The following is an 18,929-nucleotide window of genomic DNA, read 5'->3' as shown; positions in this document are numbered from 1 at the left end:
CTTCTTAGTTAGAATCAGCATTCAGAACTGAGATAGATCTCCTGAGGAAGGTGTTAAGTTTTTTAATCAGAAAAAAAGAAGTCAGAATCTATTATCTGGGAGAAAGTAAATCTGAGTTGACTAATTGCTTTGACAATGAAGGTCAGGTTTACCAAATAATTGAAATTACATCTCTTCAACTATTAGGATTTTATGGTAACCGATTTTTGATGTCAACTTAGAAATGTGAAGAGACTATAAAGATTTTTCAAGGCAAATTTGGTCTTCCGTGAGCATAGAAGTGTGAGGCTTGCTGTCTACTGCATCACTCCATGAAGAGCTCACTGAGGGGTATGAGGCTATCCTCACACAAGTATTCAAATGAGACACCGCGTGCGGAAGGCTCTGAGGAAGCTGTGAAGAGTGCTGCAAAGCTACGTTATGCTTAATCATATAGACACATTTTAGCGAACCCATTCCGGCTTCTCGTGACCACCTTTCCAGCTCTTAAATTCTCGCAAACCACATTAGGTAAATTCTTGCTTGGGAGAATGGGATGGAAAGAATGGGGATCTGGATTACAGGCTCCTTAGGGGTCAGAGGCTACGTTTTCTATCCATGTAACCCTGTACCCAGCAGCTTTTCAGTGCTCAGTCTGCAGTAGACATTTGACACATGCCTATTGAGTTGAATTGAGCTAAAAATCCAAGATGAAACATGCAGATAAGATTCTGCCAAGTTATACCAATCTATTAAAATAAACTGTCCCCGCTGGTACAGCAGACATCATTTATGGTTGCATAATACAATTAGTGTAAGGATCAGGGCTCAGAATGCTCGGTGAGCTGGGAGGCCCTGGGAGCTCCCACAAACAAGAGTACCCATGTTTGCTCTGTGAATTGGGAGCTTTCCTTCACCAAGGGGTTGATTTTCTCTTCCCCCTCCCTATGTTGCTCTGAATATGGCTCCACAGAAGCCTGACAATGGGAGGGAACAGACAAGGAAGGGAGCTGTGTTATTCCCAAATAGCCCTGTCCTTCTGCAGTTTCTGCAGTTGGTTAATGCCTGTTAAGAGAGGAGGTGTTCCTTAGAGGTTTTATCTGTGTAATGGAGCAGAGGTATGTTACTTTGTCGCTACAGTATTTCAAAACCTATTTTTATATAATTTGTAATTAAGAGTAAATTGCAGTAACAGTAAGATGAGGGCCACTTTGAATTTAAGAGATCTTTTAGCTAGTTATATCAAAAGAAAGAATAGATGCATTGCCTTGACTTTAAAGCCAATACCTCCGTCGAGAAGCTGAATTTTCTAATAAAATCTTAGCCTCCTCTGTAGGTTTTCTATCTTCTCTACCAAATGGCTGGGGATTCAGGTGAACCATATATATTTTTAAGATTTATATAATGGTATCATATACACATAGGAAAATGTACAAAAGTGTGCACTCCCTGAATTTTTCAAGAAATGAATACATTTGAGCACGGAACACCTGAAACGGGCAACATGGCCTCACCAGCTTTCCAAAGACCCTCATTTAGGACACCTATCCTGAAAATAAAGAAGGCAGAACAGACCAAATACAGGACAATAAATATAGGATGGGTAGAGTGGTACACACACACACCCACCCCCCCCCCCCCACACACACACAAACTTGACCACTTGTGATCTGAACAGAATATAAACTTAGCTCATGTAAGTTAATCCAAAAACTATAAGGAAGTATCTGGTTTGTTCAACGAATCAGTGGATCTCCCCATCTCTGTCTTTATCTATCTTAGCTCTCTCTCCCTCATCCCATTTCTCCTCATGCCTCCATGGCCTCCAAACCTTAAAGACCAAAAACATTTCACTTAAGAAAATTAACTTCCAAATAATGCTGTGAAAGGCTATGAGTTCTATAACACTGCATCACTAGATAATTAAAATAGTGGGCTTTTGGCTTAGGTTAATATTAGATAATGATGTCAAACTTAGATAATGATATCAAAATAAATATACAAAACTTTGCTACTAAGATGTTACTACTGGAGGAGGTTGGGGGAAGGGGGATAGGACCTCCCAGTAGATTTTTTGCAACTTCCTGTGAATGTGCAATTCTTTAAAAATAAAAAGTTAACAAGAAAATTTGCTATCACAGCAAACCACTATTTCTATTTCTATAAGGTGGTCAGCATTCTGTTTTGTTTTTAGTATGATTTCTTTATCCTTTTTTTTTTTTTTTTCCGAGACAGAGTCTTGCTCTGTCACCCAGGCTGAAGTGCAGTGGTGCAATCTCTGCTCACTGCAACCTCTGCTTCCTGGATTCAAGTGATTCTTATGTCTCAGTCTCCCTAGTAGATAGGGTTACAGGCACACCTGCCACCATGCGTGGCTAGTTTTTTTTTTGTTTTTTTTTTTTAGTGAAGACGGGGTTTTGCTATGTTGGCCAGGCTGGTCTTGAACTCCCAACCTCAAGTGATCCAAGTGATCCACCTGCCTTGGCCTCCCAAAGTGCTGGGATTACAGGTGTGAGCCACCACACTCGGCCATTTTTAGTATAATTTCTAAGTAATACAACTATAAAAAAACTCATCCTGTCTGTTAAATTAAAAGAAATTGAAAAAATAAGATCAAAATATTAAGTCCAAATAAATAAAATGTGTTTTGAAAGTGAATAACAATGCTTAAAAACATTACCTAGGGAATGTACAACAGTTAACTTTCTTCTTTCTTCCTTCCTAACCACACAGTTTTCCCTGTTCCTAACACCTAAAAAAATGCTTATCCTAAAGTGAATATTTAAAGAGAATAAAAGGTTTTGCCTCCCAAGTCTTATGTGTTAAGCTCGAAGGCCACTTCCCTTCATAGTTTCCAGGTTTCCAAACAGAACAGGCACTCTCAAGTGTGTCACATGCCACTACTGTGCTGTACAACCTCTAGGATCTCATGGAAGGTAAACACAGGACAAAGGTTAGACCACCCTTCATCCCACTTGCAAATCAAATATCTATTAAATCCTCTCACTGTTTAAAGCAACTATGCCACTAGTGATGTCCATAAGATAAATTATTAACTTTGAACCGTTAGCTTTTCCATGTTTGGTGTTTCTTGCAGCAAAGCAATTTATTTTTACTCACAGATTTAAAACAACTTTAAAAATAACTTTTATATGCTGCTAGTAGGAAACAGCAAGTCTCCAGCATGCATTAATTTATGATCAGTCTATTAACTTGCAACTTAGAGAACAATGATAAGTAATCAGATAAAGAGGAAGGACAGATGGTTGGCGCATTTTTTACAGTTCCATATAACACGCGCAGGCCTTATTACACACTAGGTGAAGAGACAGGAATTTCTGAGGATGGACCTCAGAAGACAGTCACAGTCCTTGGGTGTGGGTGTGTACTGGCTCAACACCAGTCATCAGTGAATCAAGCAATTCCTGCAGTAGCTCAGTTAATTCCAGATCAAATAATAATGGGCACCTGGCCAACATGGTGAAACCCTGTCTCTACAAAACATACAAAAATTAGTCAGGTGTGGTGGCGGGCACCTGTAGTCCCAGCTACTCAGGGGGCTGAGACAGGAGAATCACTTGAACCCGGAAGGTGGAGGTTGCAGTGAGCCGAGGTCGGGCCACTGCACTCCAGCCTGGGGAAAAAAGTGAGACTCTGTCTCAATACAAAACAAAACAAACAAACAAAACAAAAACAATAATGCAGAGGGGGAATACAAATCCATTCTTTTCTCACTTGAGGAAGCCAAAACATTGCCGAAAGGGCCAAGTGCTCCAGGCAGGGTGTGTTTGCCTCCCTCCTCACAAGATGGTCCAGGCACCTGGGGAACCATGAAGATCTACAGCTGGACCCTTGGAAAGTGTGCATGGCCATCATTGCCATGTCTGCTTTAGTGATGATGGGGGAGAAAGCAGAGCAAGAGAAAAAAAACAAGAAATGGGCCAGTCACAGTCGTCATAGTAAAAGTCCTAAGGTAAAAAGAGCACAGGAAGAAATCATCAGGGTTTCTGAAGTGAAATGAAGAGGGTTATCAAAACTGGCCCAGGACTATGCAGGAAACAAAAAAGCAACACTCTTGAGGGAAAGTGAGACCCACCAGGGAAGCAAAGTGAGGGTTGGTGGGATGTCACCTGAGAGTCCCGCCATGGAGGCAAGGGATGGTCACCAAAGAGGAGAGCCAAGTGGAGCCTTTCTCCTGTCTGGCTCTTGGCGACTTCCCAGGGTCCAGACCACGGGAAGGACGTCTGGGGCAAAGTCATGTAGCCATGGAGAACACAGGCTCTCTGGTGAGAGCCCAGGCCCGCCTCCCCTAGTTGGAAGGCTGTCGTGCACACATGGGGCACGCTCCAGCCTCTACACCACCCTGTCACTGAATCCCCTCTGCGACCCTATGAAATAAGCACCAGGCCTACCCTCATTCTGCAGATGAGGAAACTGACACCCACAGGCATTGCTCAGCATGGCCAGCATCCCCTGCAGTCCCCAGGGGGCCCTGAGTTCAAGGCCAGGGCATATGGCAGAGTCTGCCCTGTGCACATCACGTCACCTCCCTGTGCTTCACAGGGAGCAAGAGGCTAACAAGTCACTTTAATGAAAACAAAACAAAACAAAAAACACCACAAGGCAGGTCTTAAGATTTTTTCGGTACATTTGCTTTGTATATTCATATGTTAGTCCCATGTCCACATTTTGCTTTTTCTACTTACAGAGAATTTACCCTCAAAATAGAGAGTAAATAGAAAGTTGCTGCTTTTTCTAGAATAAAATAGTCATCTATTGAATGTTAATGATTAGTTCTAGAATCACACTGACCTATCTCATTCTTTAGCCTGCTATAAAAATTTTCAGATTGAGAAAATCATTCATAGACATGACAATTTTGGACATACTGAGAACCAGTGGAAGTTTTCAAGCATTGTTGAAGACTTTGCTTTAAGAGCATTGTGATTCTAAGGGCTTTGAACACTTGGCACTGGTGGCTTATTTTGACTTCCAGCGTGGTGAGTCCCCTTTACCCTGCAAAGGTAGTAAATTCCTGGCTGAAAAAGTGCCCTGAGTATCCCTTTTCCCTCTCTGAGTCAAGAAACTCCTGAACATTTTCTCCATTTTTAATAAATGACATATATATTCTATCTTATGGCCAGAAAAAAATACAAAGGGACACTGATTTGTTAGGAGAATCAACTCTATGCCATCCAGGATGCATATATGATTGAAAAATGAGCAGAAATATCTGCTGCAAAATAGTAATAACAGAAAGCATGAGACAGTCAGAGAACCAGGCAAAGATGGAATCATCAACTTAACCAGCCAGCAAAGCTAGCTGTCCCTGATCTGGGAGTCAGATGTGTCAAACTGTGAACACGTCCGGGTCATCTGCGTCCTCATTCAGTTCCCCAGGATGCCAGGCCGCTGCCTGCCACACATGCAAAGGCTCAGGAAAAGTGTGTGCTGGTGCCGTTCTACATAGAGAGTGAAAATTCACGGGAGCAAACTCTTTTTGAAATAAATTGCATCTTCAGATATCATTTTTTCCCTTAAGGCCCATTTAGCCTCCACCATGCTGTGCTAAGCTGCGTCCTCAGACAGAGATGGGCTGAATGATTTAATCATCCTCTGTCTGCCTCTAAGGATGATACCACTGAATTGGTATGTTTGATGTCTACATTTCAAAATCACTGGGTATTAATTAGTTATCATCTGTTACTTTTGAGACTTCTCTTAAACTTAACTGGGCCTTTTATGGCTTGGCAGAACATCTTGTGAATGGGACATAGGGCGATTGTGAGATCAGTACTACTGTTAATAACATTACGTGGTACCTAGAGGTTCTCTCAACTAAAAATCAACCTTGAAAACAGTGTTCAGAAGTCACCAAGCCTGCAAAACTTCTACTAGGTGACCAATGTGCAGTCAACATGCCTGTGCTCACAACAGCCCCTCTCACCTGTGACCACCACCTCATGCTACCTCTTCCCTTGTCACCTAGTGAAAGAAGACAAGTGTGGGAGGAAAAAGAGTGCCCAATGTCTTCTCAATATTAAGTCAGAGGAATGCTAATATTTTCCTTTTCCAAAATGCGAATAAAAACAAAAAACCCCGAAGAATATAATATTGGCAACTCTCTTTGCCTTAGCACCCAATTCTCATCGGCTCCATCAGCAGAATTTAGGCCTTGAGTTCGTGACTACTTATCTCCCTGGCTATAGTTTGAATGTCTTGTTTTTGCAACTGAGCAACATTATGAACATTTAGTAGCCATTGCCCAAAGAATCTAAAAGCCTAGAATTCCTAGCCAAGACTTCAAGAACTCTGTCATGTGATAAGGAAAGATGGACTCAGATAATCACCCAAGTCTTCTGCCCTTCTGGGACTTTTCTCATTCAACTCTCTCCCTGACACCAGGCACGTCACTACTCTGCATCTAAACAAGAATCTCTAAAGGTGGAAAGTGAAGTGAAAAAGTAGGCAACTCACCTGATTCTTCATGTTGTCCCACTTCATCAAATTGCTGAACTTTCTGTTCTGCCTTGGCCAGGTAGATTTTTGTTGACTGAAGGTAAAATAATGATGCTTTTGCCCAAGTAACCTTTGCAAGACTTACAGGTTCAGTGGCTAAAGCCACCCTGAAATCAATATACTAACTGTCTGTTTACTGGAAGGGTTTACTTATTCAACAAGAGATACGTCATCACAGGCCTGAAAAATCGATGTGTTCTCCTGGCAATCCTCTCTAAACCTGCAGCACCTAGATAACAACTGGAGATCCATTGCTCAGCTGGAGTGCAGGACTTTTTCCTTTGCTACTTTATAATCATGAAATAGAAAATTGCTTTTGGGAAATTTCTGCCAGAGTACTGAAAAGTTTCCACTATGTTAGGAATAAACAATAACAAAACAGTTTCTTCCTTTCTTGTGGAGGAAAATGAACACTGCATTTTGAAATTTCTTCTGGGAGAGGCACATCACCGTCACTGAGAGATCTACTCACTGCCGCACTCTCCATTCCATTCCTTCAACCCAGAAAGTGCCTCCAAGTGAATAATTTGATGTGTGAAACCATCTCTTCTTAAAAGCCAATGCTTGCAAGTAAATCCCAGCCAGAATAGCTTATTACAAATGGTATGATATGGAAAATGAACACTCTTGGAGGGCCACACTGTTTCTTAAGTTTGTCTCTTTTTGTAAAAGCTGTTTCACACCCTAAAGAGGTTAAGTGTATGCCTTCATTTAAATCATAGAAATGAGTCTTACAAATCTATGTAAGGGAATTACTACAGCTTGCCATAGGCATTGCTAACTGACCCAACTGCTAAATCAAGTTGCCTTCTCCTTTCATTTTTTTTCTGCAAGTATTTATAGGTCTGGAAAATTTACAGAAGTTGATGACACAACGTTGAAAAGTCATACTTCTCATTTCTAAAGTAAATATTTTCAAGGCTCACAAATTCACTGCCCTGTATCTTATGGAATGGGCAGTTATAACACATACAGAAGAGACTTGAGTCTAAAAACTACTTCATAACAAAAAAGAAACCTGGGAAAGGAACCAAAACAGAGCAGAAATACACAGAAATATACAGAAATTGTGAGGGACATTAAGCATTAGTAACAGAAGTATAACAAATTTTGAGGAATACTTTATTTAGCCTTTGATTCACAAATAGAACTAAAAGTGATGGGGCATCCATAGCTAAAAAACCCAATGACGTCTTGAAGGAGGAATAAGTAACCTTGACCTGCATGTTGAGAGACAGTGCTGTGTAGCAGGAGAGCACCCAGTGCCCACTGATCACCAGCCTGGTGATTACGGACAACAGCAGAATCGCTCTGAGCCTGGGTCCCTCACCTCCCAATCTGGAAAGCTATCCCAATCCTGTGGGGTTGTAGGAGGCTGAGAGAGAAGAATGTTAAGGCATTGTGTAAACTATGAGGTGCTGTACAAATGCGAGGTGTTGTTATTATTATGACATCAATGTTTTAGCATCTAAATTATAGGGACAGCACACTTATTACCAGCATGTTTAAATACATATCTTGCATACATTTAGATTTGTTTTTAATTTTACAGATGTTTTCAGCTGGAAGGAGTCTGACGATCGTCTAGTTTAGCTGTTTTATGGAAGGTGAAACTGAGAGGGGAGACTCTAACCTGTTTTCTCTCCCCATTATAACTAACAACAAATTACAGAAAAAAATATGTTAAGCCGCGTACTAAGAAAAACTCCCTTAACAACACCACTTTTCAGGGAGCAATACATGTGTATGCATACTTGTATAACCATGAATACTGAGTGTGTTTGGTACTTTCTAACTTTTGAAAATTATATAGTATATTTTTACAGTCATTTGACAAAGTTTTTCATCTGCAGTCCTTTGCAAAGTTTCATTTCCAGTTATTTATAAAAATTTTTCTTTCTCTGTGAAGGCTAATTCATAACAGCTTGTAAAAAAGAAGGAGCGAGGAAGAGAAAGAAGGAAGGGAAGAAGAAAGAAAGCAAGGAAGGAAGAAGAAAGGGGAGTAAGAAAGAAAACAGGGCAATACACTATTCTCACTCATAAATGTCACCAGAAATTAAAAAAATCAAGAAACATCTATAAGGATAAGGTTTCTGATTCTCTATTAACATTGTAGCAAATTGAAGCCAAGAAAAAGTTCTATAGTGCACTCTATTTAAAAGCCTCTCAAAATTAGTACATTAAAAAACAACAGGTGACACAATAATTCTCCAATGACCACTTTTTTTTTGTTTTTTGACTGAGTCTTGCTCTGTCGCCTAGGCTGGAGTGTAGTGGTGTGATCTCAGCTCACTGCAACCCCTGCCTTCCAGGTTTAAGTGATTCTCCTGCCTCAGCCTCCTGAGTAGCTGGGACTACAGGCACGTGCCACCGCACCCAGCTGTTTTTTTTGTATTTTTAGTAGAGGCGGGTTTCACCATGTTGGTCAGGCAAGTCTCAAACTCCTGACCTTGTGATCCGCCCGCCTCGGCCTCTGAAAGTGCTGAGATTACAGGCATGAGCCACTGAGCCCAGCCAACCATCTTTTGTTTATCTGTCATATGTTTGGACTTAATCAAAAGTGGATGACATCTGACATTGGGGTTCCAGGGTTTTTGTTACCTATAAACAGATAATTGCTTAACTTTCTAATAATATATTAAAATATACTTTATTTTAAAAATCTAGTTGGAGCCATTAGATCTTGCAAGTTAGCACTAGAACAAACTTAAAATAGTTTGTCTAGTTTATCTTGTTCGGCACAATTTGAAGCATTTACAATGGCTTACAGTGTATGAGAATGAACTAGGAGATAATTTTGTAAGTGAATAGAAACCATTGTAATAAAATCTCCTGAAAGCTTTCAGGTATTCAATGATTGCTGGTAAATAAACAAAACCAGGTTTTTGAAATTAAAAAAATGTTTTTGAAAAAGTTTCTAAAATTTGGTATACAATGATCAGAAAATCTCAGGACACCTTTGCCTGTCCTTAAGGACCTGCACAAATTCACTAAGTGGTTTGTTTTTATTCCAGCACTAAAATAATGGATAATTTGAGTATCAGCAGAGACACTAAAACATGCACAGTTTTTCACATACAAATGCCAGTTTGTCTTATCAGAGAGACTATGTGCAATGCATCAATTTTATCCAAAACCTGGAGTAAAGGAAAGAAATTTTAGCAAAGGGTTGTAATGACATCATAAGTAAAACGATAGGACTGCTAAAACAATCATGACGTCATCTGCTGTGCACTGGCCTGCAAGCATGTAGTGGTAAAATCGTCAGATATCACATTTCTGCTTATAAAATAAAATCCTTCATGAATGCTCTTAAAACAACTGCAAAGCAAGCAGTGGTCTTTACCTCCATATGTGTGTGTGTGTGTATATATATATATATATATATATATATATATATATTTTTTTTTTTTTTTTTACATAAAGGCATGAATATACAAGGTAATGTCAGCAGCTGTACTCCACTCTTTATTTGTTGCAAATCTACCTATTTGTTTCCAAAGGATGTCTGCAAATAAATAGGTAACATTGTACAGCTTTCAACAGTGGATCAGAACATAGATGTCTCTTCTAATTCACAAGTACCAATGGCTCAATTAATTTAAGGGACATTTTCTGAGTTGTGTGATTTCACATGTATTTATCGTGTCTAGAACTGTGCAAACTTTTGTTTCATTTCTCTCTTAGATTTCTGTAGGAAGAGTTAAAGGATGTGAAGTAGTCATTTTACTTATTCATAACACATTTTAGGGAAAATTGTGCTGTTGCTGTTGGGGAGAAAGTTAAAGCTATCAACTATAACCTGGACTCCAGTCCAATTTTTCACATCTGGTTGCTACTTTTAAAAAGGATCATTTTAATTTTTAAATGCAGAATGTGTTGCACTTTATCTTTGACATTCCAGGTTTCCTCATGGTCATTTAGAAAAATAAAGCAGGAAATTCTAATGCCTTAGCATCTACTTTAATAAGATGTTTGCATTTATAAAAATAACAAGAAACTGAGGGTTTTGCTGAAGGAGCACAGGGCCTACAAGTATTTCCTCATTCCTGTCCCTGTGCCTGGAGGCCCAGCTAAGCATTCTGTTTCTGAGAAACTCCCCTTGTCACAGAGGCTGAATTAGTCAGTCCCTCTTTTGGGCTCCCACTGAAATCCCAAATCACATCTGTTATAAAACATTGCATTACAGGGAGTGATCTTGTATGTGTCTCTCTTTCTCAGCCCTTCCAAAAGGTAAGTCGGTCCTCAGAGGACAAGTGCAGTTATTTTGTTCCCTTGGTGTATCTAGATCCCAGCATGCGATGTGCCTGGAGTATATCAGCAGTTCTCAAAATCTGGCATGCATCAGTCAGAATCTCCCTGAGGACTTGTGTGCACAGACCGGGGCCTGCCCTTCCAGTGTCTTACTCAGAGGCCAGGGTGGGGTCCAAGAGTGTGCATCTCCAACAGGTTCTCAGGTGCTGCTGCCATGCTGGGCCCGCTGAAAGCCACTGCAGAAAGCTTTTTTTTTTCCCTTTTTTTTTTTGGCAGTTAAAGAGAGGTTTTCTTTAGTTAAAACCTGGGAGGCACTCCTGGTGAATTTTGGTCAAGAGCGCTTTCTCTTACAGACTAGGAGTATATATTGGTTTTAGGGTGAGGGAGATTATCAGAATTTTGGAATGTTCCTGTTTGAGGGAGAAGTTTTATGGCAGGGTTGGAATATCTCTGGGAGGAGGCAAGTTTATCTTGGGGCAGGCATCTTTCCGGCCAGAGAGAGGTTATCCCGAGACTGGCATCTTCCCTGCTGGAGGGGGGTTATCTCGGGACTAGCATGTCTCTGGTCGAGGAGGAGTTTCGAATGTTTCCGGTTGGAGATGTTATTTGTGGTTTATGGTCATGCTGACCTTAGCCATTAGGCTGATGCAGTTTGAATTTAGGCAGTTTTTTATTAAGGTGAACTTTAGAATGAGGGGCTTGTCCAAGATGGCGATGCTCCTGCTCTGTCGAGCCAGACCCTATAGTTATAAAAAGGAGGAGGGGTGGAGTGTTCTTTCTGGCTATTTCCTCACTGCAGGAAACTTTTAATGGACTAACTTGTGAAATAAAATGTGACTCTGGAACTGATTTACTAATGAAATATGCAACTGTTTCTGGATCTCGAAGGAGCTCATGAGATGAGTAAGAAATGGGGGTCTGAGAGCAAAGACAAGATTTCTTTCGTTACGAGCTACATACAACATGTAATCCACTCCTCAGAATTGCCAAGGGAGCTTTAAGAAATGTGTGTGTGCCAGGCTCCATTCCCCAGAAATACTGATTGTCCTGGTCTGGGGCACAGTAAGGCACCCTCTTTTTCAAAAGCCCCTCAGCTGGTTAGAAAGCATGGTCAAGGTTCAAAAGCTACTGCTTTAAGAAAAAAGAAAAAAAATCATCTCCTACTTTTTTTGGTTCAGCCACTAGCGTACAAAACCAAGTAATGTGATGTGGTCTTAAGCAGGGAACAAGAGATCCCCATTCCGAGTATTTGCAGCAATATATAAACATGACTTCTGGTACACTTATATGCACAATATATTATATTACCAGTTGCTGATAACTGCAACTAATCAGCTGCTGACTATAGCAGCCTCACCTAGAGAGAAGCTGGTATCCAGAACCCCTGGTGTGGCTCAATTTCGATGCTGACGGTGAGCATGAGACAGGTGGAGCCAGGAAACTGTGAGAGGAGAACTTGTTCTGTGATCTAAGACAAGTAACTGACACGGAAATATGTGAGCAAATGACAACTCAAGCCACATTGCTCTCCTGTGCTCTGGACCACCGTATTCTACTGCCTCCTGGACTTCTCCATCTGAGCACTTCAAGCTCAACACATCTAAAAGCTGAATATTGATATTGGACCCTCCTGCCCTTCCTCTTCTCCTCCCTTCCCTTCCCTTCCCTGCAGTCCCATTGACTTCCCAGCCTTTGTGATTGCATTCAGTATCTATCCAGGCTTCCAAGTGAGAAGCCTGGGTGTCAATCTGGGATTCTTTCTTTCTTATGCTGCTACATATACTTATCAACCAGTTCTGCCTCCTGATCAGCCCCGGAGTCCCCTGTCCTGAATCTTCCTTGCTCCTGCTTCATCCTCTGTCTCTGGCAATAGTCATGAACCTTCCTGTTTCCAATGCCACTCCTGCAGTCCATTCCCCAAACCGCTGCTGCAGCCATCTTTCTAAAACACCAAACACAGCATGTCAGTTCACAGTCACTTCTCTTTCACACAGGACAAAATCCAAAGCCACAGTGAGGATGGAGCTCTCTGTGAACTGTAGGTAGCCTTACCATTTATTCCTTCTCTTCCTGCCATTTGAATTACTAGCACTCTCAAGAACTTTGCTGCTATTGGCACTGCTTGTGTAATGCCCTGCACATCCTATTCTCTGGGGAAATAATCATATAACCAAATAGCTCAAATGAGTAATCCCTTCCATTTGTGGCTAAACGTGCTCTCCTCCCCATGTAGAATTAAAGGCAAAGACTGAACTCAAAAGTCATCCTTTGTCCTGGGAAGAGTTCCGTCATTGATTCTGTGACATTGTTTCACACTTATTATCTCTAGCTCTCTTTCCCCAGTTGACTTCCAGACACTTAAGGGCAATTACCAAGTCTAATTTATTCTTACATCTCAACATATGGATGCAACAGTGTAAATCACTCATCATGGCTCAAACATAAAGAAAAAAAAGCCTAAGTTGTAACAGGTACCAATACTTGCCCTTCTATGCAAAGGGCAAACAATCATGGTTGACTTACGTAATTATTTAAACTAAGTCAGGGCCATGTGTGCTGCCGCGCTAGTAATGGTGTAATTGCAGGTGTACTTAGGGCTGCCTGCAAGGCATTCTCATTGGGTGCCTTGTCCCCTAAATTATAACTTGAGTCTTTTGTTAATGAGAAGTTCCAGATATATTCAGAAAGGACACTTGGACTCCGAGTCTCTCCTTGAAAACCCACCAGAATGAGATAAAACTTGGATCAGAGAGAGAAATTCTACTCCCCCATGTTAGTGTTTCCATACTGCTTGCTAAAGCAAGCTGCTGAAACTGGTAGGAGTAAAATTTACTCTAAGCATATGCAATTCACAGATGCTCAGTCCACAGGACCAGTCATTTGATACTGAACTTCAGGGCCTTCAGGGATTGAAATGTCAAATCTAGCACTTACTTTCTAGGGGCTCAGTAAACACACCCCCAATATTCCTGGCCCCAACTACCCCTCCTGCTCCCAGCTGGCTCAGGGAACTTTCTAGACAACTGGATTGAGTGTATCTATCTAAATGTGTAGCAAGAAAGCTTTATCAGATGACTCTGAAAAAGTGAAAATTACAGGCAAACTAGTTATTTGAATAAGTTCCAATGCCTGGATTCTTGCCCAAATTCAAACTGGCCAGCTTGTGCCTATGGGCCCAATGGAGGACAATCTAGAGATGTCGTCCAAAGAGCCAACTGCTGGAATTTTCTTAGAAAATTCATTCCTGTAGGAGGAAAACGAAAAAGAACGAATGAGAAAACACTATGATGTTTAATGGGGATGGCCTACAGGAACAAGTTAAGATTTACACTCTATTCTCTATGGATTAGTGGTTCAAGAATAAACCAGTAATAATTAACTGAGACTAACAATGTTTATTACCATAATTTCAAATGTCCATAAGTGATAAAGGAAAACAAAAATGGAATGGATCTGAGGAACAGAATCTGTTTTTTTTTTTTTTTTTTTGAGATGGAGTCTCACACTGTCGCGCGGGCTGGAGTGCAATGGTGCGATCTTGGCTCACTGCAACCTCTGCCTCCTGGGTTCAAGCAATTCTCCTGCCTCAGCCTCCTGAGTAGCTGGGATTACAGGCACCTGCCACCACGCCCAGCTAATTTTTTTTGTATTTTTAGTAGAGACTGGGTTTCACCGTGTTGGTCAGCCTGGTCTCAAACTCCTGGCTTCATGATTCGCCTGCCTCGGCCTCCCAACGTTTTGGGATTATAGAGGTGAGCCACCATGCCCGGCCCAGAATCTGGTTTTAAAAATTATATTTACAGGGAAGCAACATGTGGGTGAACCATATTCTAAAACTTTGAAATTTTCTCAACACATACCCCTATTAGTAAAACCCAATGTTAAATAAGCTCATAACTAGAGTACTTATGAAGTCAAAATTAAAACACGCACACACAGACACACAGGCACACACACAAGTCACATGGCAAGGGCCACACTGTGTTGCAGGTGGGTTCTGCAACAGGCGAAATGTCCTCAACATTGTGACCCATCCCTATTCCGGGGCACCAGCCTGGGGTTACCTTCCCTTCAGTGCCCATAATCATCAATTGCCTTTAATATTAGAGTTGGTTTGTCACTCTCGTCAAAAAAGTTTCAGATGCTAGCTGCTAGTCTTAGAGCTTAGATCAAAGAAAAAACAAAGAATATTTTCTTTTCAAACAGGGAGGAATCCTTCATCTTTGCTGAGACTACTTCTAAAAACATTTCAGAACATGTTAGTGCTGTCACGTGGACCAAGTGTAATTATGCAGCACAATGGACTTTCGGCAATCGGTGTCTTCAAACCAGAAGTTTTTGAAAAATCATGAGTTATGAAACTAAATACGTGAAGCCAGAAATTACTGTTAAAAGCCTATTGGAGCTCTCAGCCAGTTTCTTGTATTCTGTGCTACGGCAGTGTGGGTCTAACACACAAACCACTGGTGTCCTTTCCAGATTTGAAAGCAATCTGGAAGCAAGAGCAGAAACCCTTAAAACTCACCCCCCCTTCAACCTTTAGCCCAGAATATCTAGCATATTCTATGCACTCAGTAAATATTCACTGAATTCAGAAACAACAGCTCAGAAGCCTGAAGGGTCAAAGTGACTTGTCCACCTTCACCCTGGGCTGGAGTGAGAAGAAAGGTCCCAATTGCCAGGCCGGGCTTGGGCTTTCTTGATCTGACCTCCTTTGAGGAGGGAGGGTGGGGTAGATCTCACTTTGGATACCATTAATATCCCCACTTTGGTTTCTCTTTAAGACAGCTCGGACCTACTGAATGGGAACGTCTCCAGAAGTGGGGCTGGGCGGGCTTATTTCCACAAAGCTCCCTCAGTTGGGAATTCGACTCGCCTTGGAATACTTTCCAGTGTCCCTTCTGGAGAGCACCTTCATCCTGTAAGAGGCAGGGCTTTGCTCAGCACCCCTCAAGCAGTCTCCACTCCATGCTCACTGAACTGAGGACTAAGCTGCCTCTATGGAAGGTGACCCAACAGAGGGCTGAGGAACTCGGCAGGAATGCAGACTGCCGGACAGCCCGCGTTGAAGCTTCAGACAGGCTCATCGTCATGAGCCGGCTCCCTGGGCCCTTTCCCCTTGCCAGCTCTGACATTAGACATTTGCACACACCTGATTTGGATCTCCTGAAACCAGAACTCGGACAAGGCAGTGGAGTTTGGAAGTTGAGAGAGGGATCTGGAGTTGGAAGCCCCTGGTGTGAATTTCCCGTCTGCCTCCCACCAGCTGTGGGAAAGTCACTTTAGTTCTTCGTACCTCAGTTTCCCCCATAGGAGGAGAGTGTGCACCTCTTATGCTTAATGTGGGGATTAGGACTCATGAAATGGTGTCTGGCAGTCATTACCTCTAAGAGCAGCAAGTCTAGAAGTTAGCATGTCCCAGAACCAAACAAAACTCCCACTAAACAAAGTGCATCTTGAATAAAATCCACTGAATTTGATAGACACAGGCCTTAAACAAATTTCTGTTAAAAGAGCTCATCTCCTATTTTAATAATTTGCCCCTGAAAATCCAGTCTTTTATGTTACTGTAATGGAATAGCGTCTGTTCTCCTACTCTCTCTCTTGTCTTCAGGAGCATTCTGTTTTGAGTGAATGCGGGACAAACAGGCAAATTAAGTGGTATTTATATTTTTCTCAGGAACAAATCTCCAACTACTAATAGTGGTGTTCAAACAAGTAACATCAAAGAATGAGAACACCAATGGAGGGAGAAAAGTGATGCTTTGGTGGTGCTCTGAGGGTTTAATTTAAAATAAAGAGAAGAGTCTCTTCGGCAGAGACAGGGCTGACACCTGACTAACAGGACCGGCAGTCAGCAGTCTCCGGAGCAGGCCCGCGTCTCCCGGGCACCCCAGGCAGGCAGGACGGGCCTGCAGGCTCAGCAGAGAAGAAACCTTTCCACCAGTTCCTTCAATGAAAAGCGGAATCCTTTATTATTGGAATCACACTCTACCTTTTCCCTCTTTCCTATATTTGGCAATATTGTAACAATTCCAGATGTCCTCAAAGAGCTCTTAGCATTGGCAAGTAACATCTCCGGAGACTTTAACAATCCTTCTTCCGTCTAGTGATCCCCAAATCTGGCTGCCCAACAGATCACATGAAGAGCATTAAAAAAAATCCCAAGTCCAGGTCTTGCCCCATGCCAATTAAATCAGAATGTCTGGGGGCGGGAGCCAGACACTGGTTTTTGTTTTGATTTTTTTTTTTTTAATCCCAGGTAATTCCAATGTGCAGCAAGGTCTGGGAACCACTGTTCTATGCCTTGCCCCTCCCCCAACGACCGCGCTGGGCACCAAACCCCAACTCCCCAAGCCAATGACATCAACAGCAAGTACGGGCCTGGCTCTTGGAACCCGCGCAGCTCAAGGTTGGAATTGTGCAATTAAACCTTCCAAGGCATGTTTCCCCTGTCAAGTGGGTTTATGGTCGGTAGTCACGAAGCCAGACTCGCTCATGTTCTGTCTGCACACTTGGCACACTTGAACCAGGGACAGCAATCCGGTGTGTGTGTGTGTGTGTGTGTGTGTGTGTGTGTAAGACAGGTTTAATATTTTGGTTGGCTCAAATTCTTCAAACAGCAAAAAGAGACATCCAAGAAAGAAAGTCTCCGGGTTTTGAGGAGAAGTTTGCTGTGAGCCCCATTTTGAAACACCATGGTGTTGGCCAGGATGAGCTCTGCTTCCGGGGCTTCCGCTCAAGAGTCCCGCGATCCCCCCCTGCAGTGGCCGGACAGCCGCGTCCCGCTCCACCGCGAAGCCCAGGCGCGACCGAAGGGCTGCAGGTGGAGCAGACCCGGACGTCTCCGCGAGGCGGCCATCGAAGGAGAGCCTGGGGCTTTCGGCGCGGGCGCCCAGGAGGGAGCTGGGGTCCCCGGGAGGTGGGGGGCACTCTTGGATAGGCAAGACGAGGGCGCACCGGGCGAGGCGAGCGGCCGGGGTCTGCGCCCAAGGGGCGGGTCGGACCCCACCTGCCTTTTGCCAACGAGGAAACTAACCGCCGCCAGCACCACCCCTCCCCGGGAGCCGCAGGTGGTGGTAGACGAGTTCTCCCAGCTCCCAGGTCGAGGCTGCGACTCCACACTGGGGAACGAGGATCGCGGGGACCTGGAGAGGGGCCGGGGCCAGGCTGGCGGGCGCCGGCTTCAGTTTGAGACCTGCGCGGAGGGCGGAGGCGGGGAGGTCCTCTCAGAAAGCCGCCTGTCCCGCGGGGTCCGAGGGGAGGCTGTATTTTTGGGTTCCTTCCTCAGCTTCCCTAAACAGTGCAGTCTCGGCGGGTGGGCAGCGCCCGCCCCTCGGGTGCGCGCCAGGACCCCGTCGCGCCCTGGGAAGACAGCGCGGGGCGCACGTGCGGGACCCCGGCCCCAGGCGCCCACCAGCACCCGGCTTTCGCCCACTGACGCCGATCCTGCGCAGCTGGGCGGGGAAAGTGAGGGAAGAAAGTTGGGAGCGGTTCGGGGCGCCGGAGGTCCCGGCGGCCGTTCCCCGCCTGGCCTGCAGCCCGGTGTCCCACGCGTCTCCTCCTCCGCCCGCCCCAGACTCTCCCGGCCGAAGAACGAAACGTCCCGTTCCTCCCGCGGTCCCGGTCGGCGGCGCAGCTGATCTCAAGGAAACAGGAAAGGACGGGCGGGGGCGCGGGCGCCGAGCCGGTGCGCCGGTGCGCGGTTGGGCGGGCTGCGGGGTCCGGGGCGCGATCCGGGGGCGGCGCGGGAGCCGGCGAGACACGCCCTTACCTTTCTTTTCCTCCAGAGCCCGACTCGCCGGGCAGAGCGCAGCCAGCAGCGCCAGGAGCGCTGCCCCGGCCGTCCCGGAGGGTCGCATCGCTGCTCCCCGAAGAGCTCGCTCCGGCTCTCCCGATCAATACTGGACGGAGTCAGGGGGCCGTGCGCGGTGGTTGTGGCGTTGGCGGCGAGGCGGGGACTCGGGCGGACGCCGACGAGGTGGCCTGTCGTCCGGTCTGGGCGGCGGCGGCCGCCGGGGCTAGCTCGGGACTCCGGCCGCCTCGGCCGCGTCGGGCGCTCACACCGTGCGGGGGGCGGAGGCTGCTGCGGCCGCGCTGCGCCGGGGGCTGCCCGGACGTCTAGCTCGCGCGGGCCGAGGCGCGGGGAGGCAGGGCGGGAGGAGGAGGGACCAGGC

At 44.4% G+C, this 18,929-nt stretch overlaps 1 protein-coding gene across 8 annotated transcripts in view, besides 1 other annotated feature; it reads right to left on the bottom strand.

Annotated features, from left to right (window-relative positions):
- EGFR (epidermal growth factor receptor) overlaps nucleotides 1-18,875 on the bottom strand; it is a 192,612-nt gene extending 173,737 nt beyond the window's left edge. For all 8 annotated transcript variants that reach the window (NM_005228.5, NM_001346899.2, NM_001346941.2 and 5 more), the window contains exon 1: nucleotides 18,527-18,875. In NM_005228.5, the coding sequence (NP_005219.2) occupies nucleotides 18,527-18,614 (88 nt within the window). In that variant the 5' untranslated portion in view covers nucleotides 18,615-18,875. The remainder of the gene's footprint in view (nucleotides 1-18,526) is intronic.
- Nucleotides 17,201-17,875: an enhancer, noted in NCBI's record as "H3K4me1 hESC enhancer chr7:55087710-55088384 (GRCh37/hg19 assembly coordinates)". NCBI's record gives its function as "activates a minimal SCP1, AML or CMV promoter by ChIP-STARR-seq in primed H9 embryonic stem cells {active_cell/tissue: H9 hESC(primed)}" and the evidence as "EXISTENCE:reporter gene assay evidence [ECO:0000049][PMID:30033119]".

Source organism: Homo sapiens, chromosome 7 (genome assembly GCF_000001405.40).
Source record: "Homo sapiens chromosome 7, GRCh38.p14 Primary Assembly".
Lineage (NCBI taxonomy): Eukaryota > Metazoa > Chordata > Mammalia > Primates > Hominidae > Homo > Homo sapiens.
Note: the sequence above shows the minus strand (reverse complement) of the source record. Positions and strands in the feature narration are given on the sequence as shown.